This window comes from Homo sapiens, chromosome 11 (genome assembly GCF_000001405.40).
Source record: "Homo sapiens chromosome 11, GRCh38.p14 Primary Assembly".
In the NCBI taxonomy this organism is placed as follows: domain Eukaryota; kingdom Metazoa; phylum Chordata; class Mammalia; order Primates; family Hominidae; genus Homo; species Homo sapiens.
In genome coordinates this window covers 31,703,266-31,720,958 of record NC_000011.10, presented here as the reverse complement: position 1 = coordinate 31,720,958, position 17,693 = coordinate 31,703,266, and the positions used below count along the sequence as shown (strand labels likewise).

Sequence of the window (17,693 nt, the reverse complement as noted above, 5' to 3'; positions counted from 1 at the left end):
GAGCAATAGCCTCCATTTCTGTACCATGATCACAAACTCCCCTGGCCTGTCTTCTTAGGCTGGGCAAGAGAGCAAAAGGAACATGATTTCATTCCATCTGGTACTTGGCACTTATCTTCTTTTTGCTTTATCTTGCAGTGCGAATCTGCTTATGCCCTGGTGTCCTCTCCAACTTTTCTTCCTAGCTATGCTGTTCATGTTTCTTGAGAGCAAGGATTGTGCACAGTATGTCACACTTAGTACCACTCACTGGTGGACACTTAATAAGGATATTTTAAATGTTTGGTTGGAATAACCTCAATTGATTACTTAGTACTCCTCTCAGTTAACGTGTAAGTTTCAGTGAGTTCAAATTCTATCAGAAAACTTAAAAAGTTGTAAAGTTTTACTATGCCTTACCAACTACTCCTTTGCTAAGCACTGAAAGAGACTTTAATTCCTTTAATCTATTTTTTTTTTGGCCTTACTATAGCACAAGGGTGCTGAAGTGCATGCCTGCATCAGCGGGTTACCACTTCACTACAATTCAAGCAAAACAATTTGAAAAAGTGCCAAACTATCTTGGGACTGGGCAGACAATAGTGACCCTTCATGATTCCATGAATAATGTAAACAGGGAACATATTGTCGAGGTCAAAGGAAAGTAAAAAAAAAGTAATTGCCTAGAAAGAAAAAAGAGGTGTAAGATTTTAGGAGGACAAACAGCATTTGAAATGGAGATCATATTGTTTACATATTAAGTTCCGAGTTTTTGTTTTGCCAGTGCCAAGGCTGTGTTAATTACAATTATTTATCTTAAAGGTTTCTGCAGTCACAGAACTGTGGTGAGAATCTGTGCCTAACTCTTCCCTTCTGCTTGAATAAAAATAGATGATGAAGTAGTCAATATAACTTCACTTCACCAAAACTATGTCAGAGCTTTTAACACAAAAAACACTTGAAAAAAAACAAAGCTTTTTTACAAAAGGCCATTCCAGTGATTATGTAGTGGTGTCTCATTATGATTGTTCCCAATATTTTATTGTGAAAAATTTCAGATATAAGAGAATATGCATTTACACATCACTTAGGTTGTACAAGTAACCGTTCTCTACACTTGCTTTTTCACCTCTCTAAAGATCTATCCACATTCACCAGTCTCTCTAATTTGTGGTGAATTTCAAAGAAAGTTGCAGACATCAGTATATTTTACCCCTAACCACTCCAGCATGCATATCATTAGCGAAAAGTCAGTATTTGTTTATGGTTGTTTTTAAAAAATAGGTTTAATGAGATATAATTCTTATGCTGTATAATTCGCCCTATATTTCTTTTTTACATAAAAACTTTTAGTGAAGAAAACATAGAACATTTTTTTCTTCTGTCATTATTGTATGTATCAGATAATACTTGTGGCTTTCAGATCTGCTGATAAACACAAAGCTACAAGTTTTGGAAAAAATCAAATCTTCAAGTTTGGAAAAGACCACAGACTCTTCCTCCAATCCTAATAAAATGAGAAATTTCATTATTAGAATTATAAAAACATAATTATAAACCTCAACTTCAAATCTGAGCCATTAAGACAAATGATGTTTCATCTATAACCATTCCACAAAAACTCTGCCACTGTATGCCATGCATCCACATACTTCAAACTACCACAGTTTTATGCCTATTTACAGGTACAGATTTTCTTTTCTTTCTTTTTTTTTTTTCTTTTTCAGGGTCTTGCTCTGTCACCCAGGCTGGAGTATTGCAGTGGTGCAACATGCCTCACTGCAGTCTCAACCTCTCGGGCTCAAGAGATCCTCCCCTCAGCCTCTCAGAGTAGCTGAGACCACAGGCACACACCACCACACCTGGCTAATTTTTAAATTATGCGTAGAGACGAGGTCCCAATATGTTGCCCAGGCTGGTCTCAAACTCCTGGGCTCAAGTGATCCTCCCACCTTGCTCTCCCAAAGTACTAGGATTACAGGTGTGAGCCACTGTGCCCAGGCTGTACTTTCCAAATATAACTGTACAGCATCACCCATTGCATATACTCTTGTACACTGTGACCTTGCTCCTCCACAATTAAGTGTCAGGGCTTAATTTTTCTCCCCTTGAATCTGAGTGAACTTGTTATTGTTCTAATCCATAAAGTACGGCAGATGTGATAGCTTTGTCAGTTTTGAGATGAGTCATTAAAGGCAATGCATCTTGTTTACTATGACACTAGCTTTTGGAGCCTAAGCTGCCATCTAAGCAGTTTGACCATCATGTAAGAAGTGACCACCATGTGTGAGGAAGTCCAGGTCACATGCAAAGGCTACACACAGGTGCTCCGGAAGACAGCTCCAGTTGAGGTCCCAGTGGACAGTCAGCATCAACCATTACATAGGTCAGTGAAGACACTCCTAGTTGATTCCAAACTGTAGCCATCAAATTTTTCCAACTGAGTACCTAGGTACCATGGAATAGTGCATCCAACAAGCATGCCTGCTGTTCCCTATACAAGTTCCTGACCCACAAAAGCCTTGAATGTAATGAGTGTTTTCCATAACTATGTTTTGCGGTAGTTTAATACACAGCAATAATCACCAGAATAGCCCTTTTTTACTCCTCATTCTGCAAAGCAAACCAGAAAGCACCACTGTTTTAAAAAGAAATATAATTTTTCTTGGGCAGGTATATCTGCATATAGAAAATATCTTGCAAGATATCACCTCAGATGGTTAATATTAAGGTCTACATTTAGGTAGGCAGAAATTTTATAAAGTACTGCTCTAAGAATTTCATGTTTGTGAGTTCTAGCTACTGGTTTGATTGTAATGCTATTTGCCTATATTCAGAAATAAACATAGCCTAAAGTAGCACATATGAAAAGAGAGTTTTAGGAGCTGGGCTCAGTGGCTCAGGTCTGTAATCCCAGCACTTTGGGAGGCTGAGGCAGGTGGATCTCTTGAGTTGAGGAGTTTGAGACCAGCCTGTGCAACATAGTGAGACCCCGGGTCCATTAAAGAAAGGGTGGGGTGTAGTTGATTGTAAACTCAATATGAGTCAACTATGGATGCGGTTATCAAAAAACTAATATATTCCCAGGTCCATAAACAGAAGCACTATGATGATGTCATTTTTTCACTATAATGATTTTAAATGTATAAAATAAAATACACTAAATTACAAAGGAAATAAACTTCACTGAAATGTTATCAAATAATAAATTCTTTTTTTTTTTTTTGAGACACAGTGTCACTCTGTCTCCCAGGTTGGAGTGCAGTGGCGCAATCTCGGCTCATTGCAACCACCGCCTCCTGGGTTCAAGCGATTCTTTTGCCTCAGCCTCCCGAGTAGCTGAGACTACAGGCGTGTGCCACCACACCCAGCTAATTTTTGTATTTTTAGTAGAGATGAGGTTTTACTGTATTGGTCAGGCTGGTCCTGAACTCCTGACCTTGTGATCCGCCCACTTCAGCCTCCCAAAGTGCTGGGATTACAGGCGTGAGCCATTGTGCCTGGCCATAAATTTTTATATAACCATCTATCTGCACATTTTTATTAACCATTGAATAACAAGAATAGCCATGGGCCTGATACTAATATATTACAAATGAGGTAAGTAATACTTTGAGACAGCAATAAATGCATGAAAAAGTCTATGATTTCTGTTGACGACAGTCACAGTTACTGCTAATGTGACTGCGGTTTGTTGCCTATATTTATAACTAAGAAAATGCTACGTTTCAGTGGGAGGCTAGTAAAAATAAACATGTACATTTCTTTTCAATCCAAGTTCCTGGAACTCCCAAATTCTATCCACAGACTCCTTGTTCTTAAATCCCTTCAATTCCTTCATTTATCTATGATTCCTCAGGTTTACGGCATTTGTGGCCATCTCATTCATTTTTTTTTCCTGCTGCCAAATTAACAAGTTGGGGGGAAAGTTTAGAATAAAAGATGCATGAGACTCCTGGTTTGAGCAATTTCTTATATTTAGAACTGTTCATTATCTTCTCACTGGTCAATAGAATCTCATCCATTATTCTAGTCCTAGTTCAAGTCCTACTTTTTCTAGTAATGTATAATATGATCCATAAAGATTTCTCTTTTCTCTGAATTCTTACTGCACTTGGCATCAATTTACCTTAATTTTAGCACTTAATTAATCTCTATTTCATTCACTATCAGTTTTGTCTTCTCATCTAGACAGGGAGGTTTATAGAAATTGAGAATGTTTGTTATTTTGTATCATCCAAAGCATACTGCTAGGTACATTGCAGGTACTTGATATATCTTTGTATAATGCTTATCCTATTGGTAAGGTTGTCCAGCTACGTAAATCATCTATATTGCAATGGGAAACTGAAACTACATGTATTATTTCTTACTATCACTGTCAACTACAATGGATCACTGATGGGCTACACACAGTATTCCTTGATATTAATAATAACACTTATATGGCATTTATGTGCCAGATACTCTTCTAAGCACTTTGCATATTAATCTTATCAGCCCCATGATATAGAAACTATATTTATCCCCATTTTACAAATGAGAAAACTGAGGCATAGACAAATTAGTAAAGAGACAGAATGTAAAAGCAGATATTCTTTTCCAGAGCCAGTGCACTTAACCACTACACTATACTGCTACTCATTATCCTCATAAATAAAGAACTAGGCAGAGCACGGTGGCTTGTGCCTGCAATCCCGGCACTTTGGGAGGCTGAGACAGGGGAATGGTTTGAGGCTAGGAGTTTGACACCATCCTGGGCAACATAACAAAATCTTGTCTCTACCAAATAAATAAATTAGCTGGATGTGGTGGTGTGTGCCCGTAGTCCTAGCTACTCGGGAGGCTGAGGCAGGAGGATGGTTTACAACCCAGGAATTTGAGGCTGCAGTGAGCTACGATCATGCCACTGCACTCTAGCCTGGGTGACACAGCGAGGCCCTGTCTCAAAAACAAACAAACAAACAAACCTCCTTGTACTAATACATATCTCTAACATTACATGAAATCACTGGTTTGACAGTTAGCTCTTCTTCTGCTAAACTCCTATATCCCTTAACTGTGTAATCATTAACTCAGCCCTTGTACTGTTTGAATTTTATTTTAGTAAAGCAGTTACCGTCTATTGAGTGCTTGCTCTGTGTCAGATCCTAGGCTAAGTGACTTAATGTATAGTTACTCTTTGTAACAACCCAATGAGGCAGGAAAGGAAACCTAGGCTCACATATAAGTAGCAAAAGATTAAGCAGTAAAAGAGCAAGGATTCTAACCTAAAGCTGTCTGACACCAGAATTCATGCTTTAAAACACTTATGCTATGTGTTTAGCCTTATTTCTACAACTAGATTACAAATTCCTTGAAGGCAGGGATTATGTCTCATACTTGCTTGTTGGTTCCACAATACTTTGAATGCCTGATCTTAATATTTAGAAATTGTTTCTTGATTGATACAACTGACATTTCACACAATTTAGCGTGCTGTAACATGAACACATTGGAATCTCTCAGTAACTGTGTGCATGTCTTTTGGGAAGCTACCTACATTTTTCCATCTTCAGCTTCTTATCTTTAAAAGGAAAATACAGCTAATAATAGGAGTGTTTAAATATTAAAAGGTAATAATATCTTAATATATTTATTATAGTGTCCGCCACATAGAAAGTAATCAACTAATTCTGGCTTCTTATTCCCTTCTTTGAAATACAGTTTTTTTGGCCATGTCCACAAAGACTAATTTTATTAAGCATTTTTTATAAAACTGATTACATTTGGTTGTACAATTTTAATTTACAGCATTTAGTCTAATTTCTCTTCTTTTTCTCAAATTCAGCTAAAATGAGAAATATTAGTTTATTTTAAATCTGAGAAAGAGTTGCCATCTGAGCCAACGAAGTGGTTCTTCCGTCTCTATGAACTATCATAGTGGTTACTGATGAGTAAAAATGAAAGAAATGTGTGGTAGGCAGAATAACAGTCCTCAAAAAATGTCCATACCACAGTCTTTGGAACCTGTAATGTGTTACCTTACATGGCAAAGAGGAATTAAGGTGAAAGATTGAATTAAGGTTGCTGATTGGTCGACCTTAAAATAGGAAGATCTTGGTTTATTTAAGTGGGTCCAATGTAATTACAAGGATCCTTAAAAGTGAAGGAGAGAGGCAGAAAAAAAACCAGAGAGTTGGTAACATAAGGACTCAAACCCAATGTTGCTCGCTTTGAAAACGGAGGAAGAAGCCATGAGCCAAGGAATGCAGGCAACCTCTAGAAGCTGGAAAAGGCAAGGAAATAGCTTCTTCCTTGGACCATCCAGGAGGAACGTAGCTGTGCTGACCCCTTTTTGGACCTCTGCCTGCCAGAACCGTAGGAAAATAAATTTGTATTGTTCAACCCACTAAAATTATAGCAATTTTTCATAGCAGCAATAGAAAACTGGTACAGCATGTAAATTCCACAAATTTGGAATTGTGTAAAAACAAATATGGTTTTAAACAACTGTTAAGTAACAATATGAGTCAACAGTGATATTTCTCTTGATTGTACTGGAAGAAGTAAAATGAAATATAGTAAACATCACTGCAGAGTCATTACTAACATTTACTTTTAACTAGGTGGGTTAGAAATAAAAAATTTTTCTTTACAATTTATATTTTAGTCACTAGAATGTCCTTCTGTTTGTGAACATGATAAAAAAATTCTAAGGAAATAATTTAATTACAACAAGAGATTTTTGTTTGGACAAAAAGAAGGTATTTTTCATTCTATTATTATCATGCCTAAAATACTACCTTGGCTAACTGTTACTAAAATGTATTGCCTGGCTCTGAAATCCCTACATCTTACCAGACTTAAGCAGTTTTACATCCAAAATGAAACTTATGATTAATCATACAGTGCTGGTCTTTTCTATACCATCACAGACACTGGTCACCCCTAAATCTCTTATAATATTTCTACTCTACTTGGCATTCTTTCTCTTCTCTGTCCATTCAGCACAAACTGTCCTTCTCTAAGCACTTATATAGCATTCCTATTCTCTAACTACATTTTAGCTTCTATTGCACATTATTGTTTGTTATTTGCATTCCAATCATTATATTGCAGGTTTGTATGTTTAGTTTCCCTGTTACCTCCCCTTGAGGAGAGAAGAAGGTTGATAGGTCCACAGGGGTTTATTATATTATTCTCTACTTTTGTGTATGTTTGAAATTTTCTATAATAGTTAAAAATAAATACAACTAACTTGGGTAGATACTCTTCCATCTGTAAAGCTTTCTTTCAGTGTCTAGGTTTCTCCTTGCCTAACACTGTAAGGTTGGTGGAATTGAGTTTACCTCTAAAGTTACAGCTCTTTTGGTTGAGGAAACATGGCATAAATATATAATAATATGATGCTCAAAGGGTCATGGCCTTATCCAACATTAATAGTAGATTTCTATAAATTAGAGTATATTATGCAAGATAAAACTTTTACCATTGCTCAGTAAAGAGAAGCACAAATAATTTAACTTACTGGTCAATTGTTTGTATAATCATTATACTTTGAAATATTTGCTTCAATGTTATTGATACAGAATTCCTTGTTAGCATATTTCTGGCAAGAAATGATTGAGGCAGAAGGTTTTCATCAACATTTGATAAAGGAAAAGTTAGAATCAACAGTAAAACTTACCATTGCTAGATTATACCATAAAGTATTAACAACACAAAATGTTAATTAATTTCTAATTCTCTATTCTATTATTTAGATTTCATGAAGGTTGATTGGACTTGATCCATCATTTTACGGAAAATTGATTATTTCAAATACATGCACCACTTTATGCAACCTGCCTGATTTGCATTGAGGAAAATTCAGCAGAAGTAATTGAGGCACAAGCAAATACTGGCACTGACTGAACTCAATTTTCAGTCCAAATTTCCGCAAAATCCCAAGGCACAACAATATCAGATGCAAGGGGGAAAACAAACAAAAGCAATGTGAAAAGGGAACATGAAGAGAGAATATTACAAGAATCAGAGAACAAAGGGATTGCAAAACTATTTTAGTGGCATAGATGAGCAGTGAGGGCTTCATTCAGGCAAGGTGGAATAAGATATCATATGGCATCCTGACAATTGATGTCTTCATTTAAATGTAAGAATTTACATTCTAATTAGAAAGAATTTACATCTTAATCAGAGGCAGCTGTATTATCTTGTTACTGTTTTTTTCAAAGGTAATGAACTAAAGTACTGCTGTGCTTTTTCAACCAGAAACTAAATAGACAGCATCCAGTGCTATTTTATAGCTTACCTGCTGTAAGCTGTTATTAATATTTTCAAAGATTAAATTCTAACCAAAATCTCTTAAAAATGAAAATTGTATTTGACATCACTAGAATAGTATGATAAAGACATTTAAAGTATTTAAACAAATCCTTTTTACCTTGTATTTTAAATGTACTTATTTATCAAGCTAATAGAAGCCTCTTAGGATTTATTAATATAATATTGTTTTCATTTTGGGGGATGTAGAAAAGCTACTATTGCAGATATGTATTACCTGGTGAAACCTGGTTGCTCTCAAACTTACCTCTGGTTACAAGAGATCATTTACTAAATACAAAACTTTGCCTTATTAAGAATATTTAAGTTCACACAGGTTCTTTTTTATTTCAATGATATTTAACAAGGAAAGATAACATATGCTTAAAACAGAGTATTATCATTGAATTTTATGTGATTTCATTACTTCCACACTAATAACATTTAAAAATATAATGCTTCACAAACGTACACAATTCTGTTGGTGTCTAGTATTGCCATAGTTAGTGAAATTAAAGGAAATAATGCATTCTAATTTGTAATGTTATATTCTAGGTTGTTCATAATGATGGTAACTAGACCTAGGTATTGGTAGTTGGTGATAGCTTTGCAAAATCAAGCCCATCATTCATATGAGAATCAACATGAGCTCACTGACCCATGGTTTAGAAGAAATTGGGCTTGGCCTAAAAGAAATCAAGCAGAAGAAAATTACAAGTGTTAATAAAAATGTAAAATGCCACCTTTGTCTCTAGCACTATGCATCTTTAGGTTATTGATACTTATTTTCATCAGCTGCATCATTAATATGGCATTGTAGTATGGGCCAGTTGATAATTTGCAGGTTTATGATTTAATTCATTAGGTAATTTTTTTAAATAAAGTGAAAGGAAGGAAAATAATAAAAAGACTAAGGCTGTACCTACTACTATTAATAGTTTATTAAATAAATGACTAATTTGGTTAGTTTGGTCAAAATATTTGAAAATTGTAGTCTAAAATAATGCAGAGGTACATATTTATCTTTATCATCATAAGCTTTCTAAATCTATACACATAAAAGAAAAATATATAATATTCGAATGTGCTATATTTTACCAAAAATATAACAGAATAATTTCAGGTAAATTTTAAAAGATTAAATTAGTTTTAAGGTGGCATTTTCTTAACCTAGGCCACTCTGATGACAAAGAGGAGATAATTATTAGTTCACTGGTGCTTTTTCTTGTATTTCTACTAAAGACAATTTATAGAGGAAATGATTCAGATGGGTCTGACTGAATTACTGGCTCTGAAAGATGGCTTTATACTGCTGTCAGAAGCCGTCAGACCACTTTTGAAACGTTTATTTGTCTATGGCTCTTCTGTGAATGATTTGTTATAAGGGCACTTAACACTACCACATGGTACACACAGTGTCTTCATTTTCAAAAGTGTCCCAGATAAGTTTTTGATTACCTCTAGGTTTTATGGAACCTGTTTGCATTTTCATAAAGAATCTCTAAAAATAAAGTACACTTTGTTTTTTACATTTATGTATCATCCAAGCGTAATATAAAAGACTTTCAGTTAGAGTGTAACAGAGTCTCATATTTACTGTAACCATAAATATTCATATCCAATCTAAAAGAGCATAGTGAACTATAATACAAGATTCCTCTTGCTTTATATCTTGTTTCCCTAATCATTTTTGATTTGGACTGTCACAATTGTTTCCTAATTAGACTCCGTGCTCATAGTTACCTCCCCATCTATTTCTTACTTCATGGAACCAACAGCCTAAAGTCACGGGTTCTAGTCTCCCCTATTATATTGTAAGCTCTATTACTTACATGATATAGTATTTAAATGCTTGGATAGTTACATGAAAAGATATGGATTGTAATACTGATTATGTCGCTCTCTGTGTCTTATTCTTCTCATCCGTATGCTGAAGAGGTATCCAAAGTCCATTTATGCCAATGAACTCTTTTCTTCTGAAATTCAATGATTCTTACTCTTCATGTCTACTTATTGTGTTTTAGTTATTTCATATCTTTTTTTTTTTTTTTCAGATGGGGTCTCTGTCTGTCACCTAGGCCAGAGTGCAGTGGCACGATCTGGACTCACTGCAACCTCTGCCTCCAAGGTTCAAGCAATTCTCCTGTCTCAGCCTCCAGAATAGCTGGGACTACAGGCATGTGCCACAATGCCTGGCTGATTTTTGTATTTTTAGTGGAGACAGGGTTTCACCATGTTGACCAGGCTGGTCTTGAACTCCTGGCCTCAAGTGATCTGCCTGCCTTGGCCTCCCAAAGTGTTGGGATTACAGGCGTGAGCCACCATGCCCGGCCCTTATTTCATATCTATGAACACATCATTCTTCCTTCAATCTCAACTCAAAAATGTATTGTTGCCTCTTTCTGTCCATACAAATCTTGTTCATTTTTCAAGACCTATTTAAAGTGTATCTTCTCCAGAACGTTGCTCTGATCATGCTGGCCAACAGTAATTTCCCCCTTGTCTAATTCACGTATTCAACAAATATTTATTGAGTGTCTACTCTTTTTCAGGCACTATAGCAGGTGCTGGAGATGCAAAGAATGAATAAGAGAAATATGGCCCCACTATAAAAAGGGCTTATAATATAGTGGGGAAGACAGATAAGAAACTAGCAACAAAAATTAAAGACTGTGATAAGTGCAAGGAAGGCAACAAACAGTTTGCTGAGGGGGTGTGCACATGTACACTGTATATAATAGCATGATCAGAGAAGGCTTGTTTCCTACAGCATTCTCAATACATAGTAATAATTAATAATTTAATCTATTATTATCTTAAATTGGTATTTGACACATTGTGATTGTAAATCTTACTTCCCAAGCTAGATTGCAGTAACAATGATAATTATTGTTTTGGCTAACATACATTGAGTATTTAAAATATGCCAGTTATTGTATTAGGCAATTCATGTGTATTTTATCATTTAATCCTTAGAACAAAATAGGTATTTTTATTATTATCTTATTTTATTCAAGATAAGGAAATAAGGACGTAGAGTCAAACTAAGATACTTTCTTTAAGTCAGACAATTAGTAAATGGCAGAGTTGGGACTAAAATCCAAGTCCGCAGATACTGAGGTGTGGTATATTAATTACCACGATAAACTCTTTCTTGGGGAGAGGGATCATATTTTACGAGACTTGGTATCATTACAGAGTAATAAACAATGCTTTCCACATACTTAACAATTCCCTGATAGTGAGTAACTGAATACGTGAAACTTGGGTCATTCGGTAAGTATTACACTTCCTTAGGAGCAGCTTTTCAGTTTTAGCATAAACTTAACTAGCACCTGAAGACTAATCTTGGAAACACAGACCCTTGGATTGAAAATCCTATTTAAAAGTATTTCAAATCTATAGTTTGTAATATGACGTATCATCAATTTGTTCCTAACTGACACCAGGTCGTATGCATATGCTTTCCTACTCAGGACCCTTGGTTTTGGGTAAACCTCATACCAGCAATTGCCCATTTTGAACTTATATTCTTTCACTCAAATGATTTTGACTCAAATACCAAAAATATTCAATGACAGGATGTATAGATCAGAGAGTTGTTAGAGAGTAGAAAATTTAATAAAATCAATTAATCGTGGACCTCCTGTCATAGAATTACAGTTAGATTTCAGATATTTTAAAGACCAAAAGGATAATGCTGATGAAAGTCTAAATTTTAATCTTACATATAAAAGAAAAATTGGGGAATTAAATAACATTTTTACTACAAACAAAATCTTGGATGTCAATAACAACTTTCCTTGCATAATTATTCAATTAGTTACACTAACAGTGGAAACTTTAGGCAACAGGTAATTCAAAGGAGCAGCTTAAAAATATATATATTTGATTCAGAATATACTTCAGCATTGTTTTTATTATGGTTTTCTTAGGAAGAAATTAAAAGTTAGTTGACTTCTGTGACTTAATTTACTGCTCAACTTTCTTACTGCTGGGTAAAACCAGCATCTTCTCTTAAGACATTCATACTGAGATACTACTTGAAATCAGAGCTTAACAAGCACCAGTTTATAAATTTGTTGGTTCTCACTTTTATTGGAACTCATTGATAACTTTTTGATCTCCAGATCTGGCCAGAAGTATATTATTTAAATAAAAGATCCTTTAAAAAAAAGGTCCTTAGGCCAGGGAATGAGGTGTTACTGTCAATAAAAACTTATTTTTGATTCAGATAATCTTAAATGTGTATAATACACTTGTAGATAACTGAGAGTTGGCTTTAAAAATTATGTCTTGGATGCTATACTGCTAAAATTGTGAAATATAAACCTGAATATCAAGGTTACATTTCATGGGCTTACATGAAAACCATCTGAGATGAAATCGAACTCTGATGGCTTTGTTGTGGCTTGAGAACATCATGATGCTTTAAGGATATAAAAGAGGAGAAGTAGAAGGTTTCCCTGTAGGAGATACTACTCTGGGAGCTGAAAAGGAATTATTTAGTTAGGGGGAAAATGTAAAGAGTTACATGTCCAAGAAGACTGAATGGCAAAGGCCCTGTGGTAGAAGAGAACGATGATATTTTTAAAAAATTGAAACTAAAAAATAAAAGAATGAGTGGTAGGCTGTAATAATGCTCCTGCTTATCCTTGAAGATGTACATGTCCTAATTCCTGGAATCCGTGAATGTTACTTTACATAGCAAGGAGGACTTTTCATATGTGATTAGGGATCCTGAAATGGGGAAATGATTGCCCTGGGCACAATATAATCACAAGAGTCCTTATAAAAGGAGGATGAAGGGTAAAAGTCAGAGAGGCCATGTAATGATGGAAGCAGAGGTTAGAGTGATGAGGCCATAGCCAAGGAATGCTGGTAGTTTACAGAACTGGAAAATGGATTCTCCTGTAAAGCTTCCAGAAGGAACCAGTATTGCTGATACCTTGACCTTAATCCTTTGAGATCCTGACTGTGGACCTCTGACCTCTAGAATTATAGGGAAATAATTTATGTTATTTTAAGCCACTAAGTTTGTGGTGATTTTTTATAGCAGTAACAGAAAAATAATATAAAATTAGTCACATATCACTTGTATAATTTAAAGAAAAAAGAAAATACCAACCATTCAAGTAGAATTGATGAATTCTTGCCATGGAATTATATTAACATAGTAAATTACAGAAGGTATTATAAAATAATACATTGTTATAGAATAAAGGGAAATAATAAAACATAAGTATCATTAAATTTTCCACACTTACAACATACCAAGATGATTCAGTATTTTTTGTATACGTTATAAAAGTATATTGTCAATAGATTACACGTGGTAAAATGAGGTCTTTGACTACTTTATATTTTCAGTTGAACATCAAGGATATTGCTAGTAACATGAACTGTAAGGTTTTATTTCATATATATACTTACATGAAATTATATATATCTGGTATTAAATATTACGTATTACACTGTTGGTGGGAATATAAACTCGTGCAGCAACTATGAAGAATAGTATGAAGGGTTCTCAAGAAACTGCAAATGAAACTACCATATGATCCAGCAATCCCACTACTGGGAATTTCTCCAAAGGAAAGGAAATCATTACATTAAAGAGACATCCGGACATCCACGTCTACTGCAGCACTATTCACGATAGCTAAGATATGAAGTCAACCTAGGTGTCCAAAAAAAGATGAATAAAGAAAATGTGGTGTATACATACACAATGGAATAATATTTAGCAATAAAAAAGAATGTAATCCTGACATTTGCAGCAATGTGGATGGAACTGGAGGACATTATATTAAGTGAAATAAGCCAGGAACAGAAAGTTAAACACCACCTGTTCTCACTCATATGTGGGAGCTAAAAATGTTCATGTCATAGAAGTATTATAAAAAGTAGAACACAGGTACTAGATGTTGGGATGGGTAGGTGGAAGGGAAGGCGAGGCAGAGACTTGTTAAAGGATGTACATTTATAGCTAGATAGAAGTTATAGTGTTCTTTTTTTGAAAATATTAGATAAAAGTTAAAATATATGAATTAAATATATAAATATATAAAATTAATTAAATTAAATATATCATTAATTATTAATTATATTAATTTAATATATTAAATTAAATATATAAACAAATTAAATTAATTACATATATAAATATATAAAAATAAATATAACATTTAATTAAAACTTTTTTTTGGTAGAGATGGGGTCTCACTATATAGACTAGGCTGGTCTTGAAGTGCTGGCTTCAAGCAATCTTCCCACCTTGGCCTCTCAAAAGTGTTGGGATTATAGGCATGAGCCACCATGTCTGGCCTTAAGTTCTAGTACTCTATACCACTGTAGGATGACTAGAGTTGAAAATAATATATCATTTCTAATAGTAGAAGGAAGATATTAAACATTCCCAGCACAACGAAATAATAAACGTTTGAGATGATAGGCATGCTAATTATCCTGAGCTAATCCCTATGTATTTATTAAATGCATCAAAACATTACTATGTGCCCTATGAATATGTACAATTATTATATGTCAATTTAAAAAGTAAAAAAATACAACATACAAAAATGCAACGTATTTTTATTAAAAATATTATATTCATGACCAGCCTTGGAAATCCTTTATTTATAAAAAATAAAAAATCAGCCAGGAGTGGTGGTGTGCATCTGCAGTCCTAGTTACTCAGGAGGCTGAGGCAGGAGGATCACTTGAGCCTAGGAGTTTGAGGTTACAGTGAGCTATACTTGTGCCACTGCACTCTTGCCTGGGTGACAGAGCAAGACCCTGTCTCTAAAAAAATAAACAAACAAAATTTAAAAAAAATTATGTATTGTATGTATAGAAATATATCAGTCTGAAAATTTACCATGTAGAATGTCAAACATTTATGATGTTTAAATATCACAAAGGTTAATGCAGATTTCTTGTCTCTAGAGAAATTAATAGACATATTGATAATGGTGGTCCACTTTTTCCTTTAAGAGAAAGTTAGAACTAAGACATAACCATTATTATCATTTATTAACATTGGTAATAACTACAGTTGCAGAGGAATTTTAATCTGCAATATTTTTTGAATAATTAACATGTCAAAATAAAAAGATTCTGAACCTGTATGTTTAAGTGTATAAAGCAGTAGTTTTAAAATCTGTGTTTGTCGCAATCCAAAGTTCCTAGCAACAAAGCAATTAAACATAAGTACATTTATATGGTATTCTGGTTTGAATGTGTCCCTCAAATTTCATGTGTTGGAAACTTAGTCCCCAAATTCATATGTTAATGGTATTTGACAGTGGGGCTTTTGGGCGGTAATTAGGATTAGATAAGGTCATCAGGGTGGGGCCCCATGATGGGACTGGTGGCTTTATAAGAGGAGGAAGAGAGACCTGAGCTGACATGCTCTTGCCCTCTCACCATGTGGTGTTCTCTGCCATATTATGATGCAGCAGGAAGACCCCTGCCAGATGTTGGCACCATGCTCTTGGACTTCCCAGTCTCCAAAACCATGAGCCAAATAAACTTCTGTTCTTTATAAATTACCCAGTTTCTGGTATTCTATTATAGCAACCAAAAATGGACTAAGACATATGTTGACTTAGGAAGTCAGAAAATAATCCTTAAGTCATATACTATATAATTTTTTTTTTTTTTTGAGATGGAGTCTCGCTCTGTTCCCAGGTTGGCGTGCAGTGGCGCGATCTCAGCTCACCACAACCTCTGCCTCCCAGGTTCAAGCGATTCTCCTGCTTCAGCCTCCCAAGTAGCTGGGACTATAGGCGCGCACCACCATGCCCGGCTAACTTTTGTATTTTTAGTAGAGACGGGGTTCCACCATGTTGGCCAGGCTGGTCTCGAATTCTTCACCTCAGGTGATCCACCCACCTCGGCCTCCCAAAATGCTGGATTACAGGCATGAGCCACCAAGCCTGATCTATATAATCTTTAAGTCATAAACAAGAGTAGTGTTTTCTATGATCTAAATCAAAATTTATTTTTTATTTTTTAATTTTAATTTTTTTATTTTTATTATACTTTAAGTTCTAGGGTACATGTGCACAACGTGCAGGTTTGTTACATATATATACATGTGCCACGTTGGTGTGCTGCACCCATTAACTCGTCATTTACATTGGGTATATCTCCTAATGCTTTCCCTCCCCCCTCCTCCCACCCCACAACAGGCCCTGGTGTGTGATATTCCCCTTCCTGTGTCCAAGTGTTCTCATTGTTCAATTCCCACCTACGAGTGAGAACATGCGGTGTATGGTTTTTTGTTCTTGCGATAGTTTGCTGAGAATGATGGTTTCCAGCTTCATCCATGTCCCTACAAAGGACATGAACTCATCCTTTTTTATGGCTGCATAGTTTTAAGAAATAAAGATAGGAGTTTTGTGTCTTCTGTTTGAATTAACCATGTGAGATTTTTTTTTTTTTAGTTGCTGAGAAGTTTTTCTATTTTCAAACAGATACAAATCCAAACTACAAGAACAGGATCTGAAATAATAAGAGATAATTTGCCTTGATGCATTTGTGGTAAGACAATTGCACTGCAAACTAAATTTTTTTTTTTTAAATTCTATTACTATTGTAAGCAGAACAAATGCCCAGATGGCATGGGCCATAAAAATATAATTAAGCTTTACAATATTGTTACTATCAGATCTCAGAAGTGTGCTGTAGCTTAAGTTAGAGTGCTGAATATGTGAGTGCATATAACATTTTTGAATTTTAATTTTTTGGACATATATATTCAAGTTGAAATGTTTACCAGTTTCAAATGATTTCTATTTTCTGCCATATTCTTGGCCTTCAGTTTCAAACAATTTGAGAATTACTTTAGGAGAAGGCATATTAACTAGAAGATAAAACAATTGCACTAATTCTTATTTTTCAATCAGGAAACACTTTGATTTCCTTAAAAACATATAATAATGTGAAATACTGCCACAAGATCACCAATAGAGAAATCACAGGCTTGCTCTAGGACAGCTGGATAATCACAACTAAGGTGTAAGGTACCTGGAGAGAAGAGTTTAAGGGTAACTTGTACCTTGAAGAGAAGAGATTTAGGCGACAATCTTTTAAGGTTTCTTTTTGTCTAGTTACTTTCCATTTCAATAAAATGGTGACAATAAGAGCAAATTAGGTAACTGCTTCAAATTCTCTCATAAATGAAGCAAAGTATATAGATTATGTTAAAAATATTCATATTTTACTCATACTTTGAAAAACACTGGCTAATGTTTTTGATCAATTATAATTGCTTAAAACTAGCAGAGTCACAGTATATATAAATAAAGAGGTGATCTAAATCTGAAAAGGTGTCATAACTGTTTTAGAATATCTGGGGATAGCTGGGCAATAAAGGTTGTTCCACAGAAACACTGGCATGCTGC

At 34.8% G+C, this 17,693-nt stretch overlaps 1 protein-coding gene and 1 long non-coding RNA gene across 4 annotated transcripts in view, besides 3 other annotated features; one reads left to right on the top strand and one right to left on the bottom strand.

The window, feature by feature from the left end:
• Window positions 1-17,693, bottom strand: part of ELP4 (elongator acetyltransferase complex subunit 4) — a 280,558-nt gene that overhangs the window by 69,366 nt on the left and 193,499 nt on the right. The window lies entirely within an intron of this gene.
• Window positions 1-17,693, top strand: part of ELP4-AS1 (ELP4 antisense RNA 1) — a 78,869-nt gene that overhangs the window by 46,933 nt on the left and 14,243 nt on the right. The window lies entirely within an intron of this gene.
• Window positions 7,094-10,026: an enhancer, noted in NCBI's record as "B123". NCBI's record gives its function as "enhancer in the pretectum, neural retina, and olfactory region" and the evidence as "EXISTENCE:transgenic organism evidence [ECO:0001131][PMID:11850181]".
• Window positions 7,566-8,534: a conserved region, noted in NCBI's record as "conserved region; B1 PCR fragment; may show DNase I hypersensitivity in mouse (PMID:22220192)". NCBI's record gives the evidence for it as "COORDINATES:sequence similarity evidence [ECO:0000044][PMID:11850181]".
• Window positions 9,036-10,026: an enhancer, noted in NCBI's record as "B3". NCBI's record gives its function as "enhancer in the central portion of the neural retina" and the evidence as "EXISTENCE:transgenic organism evidence [ECO:0001131][PMID:11850181]".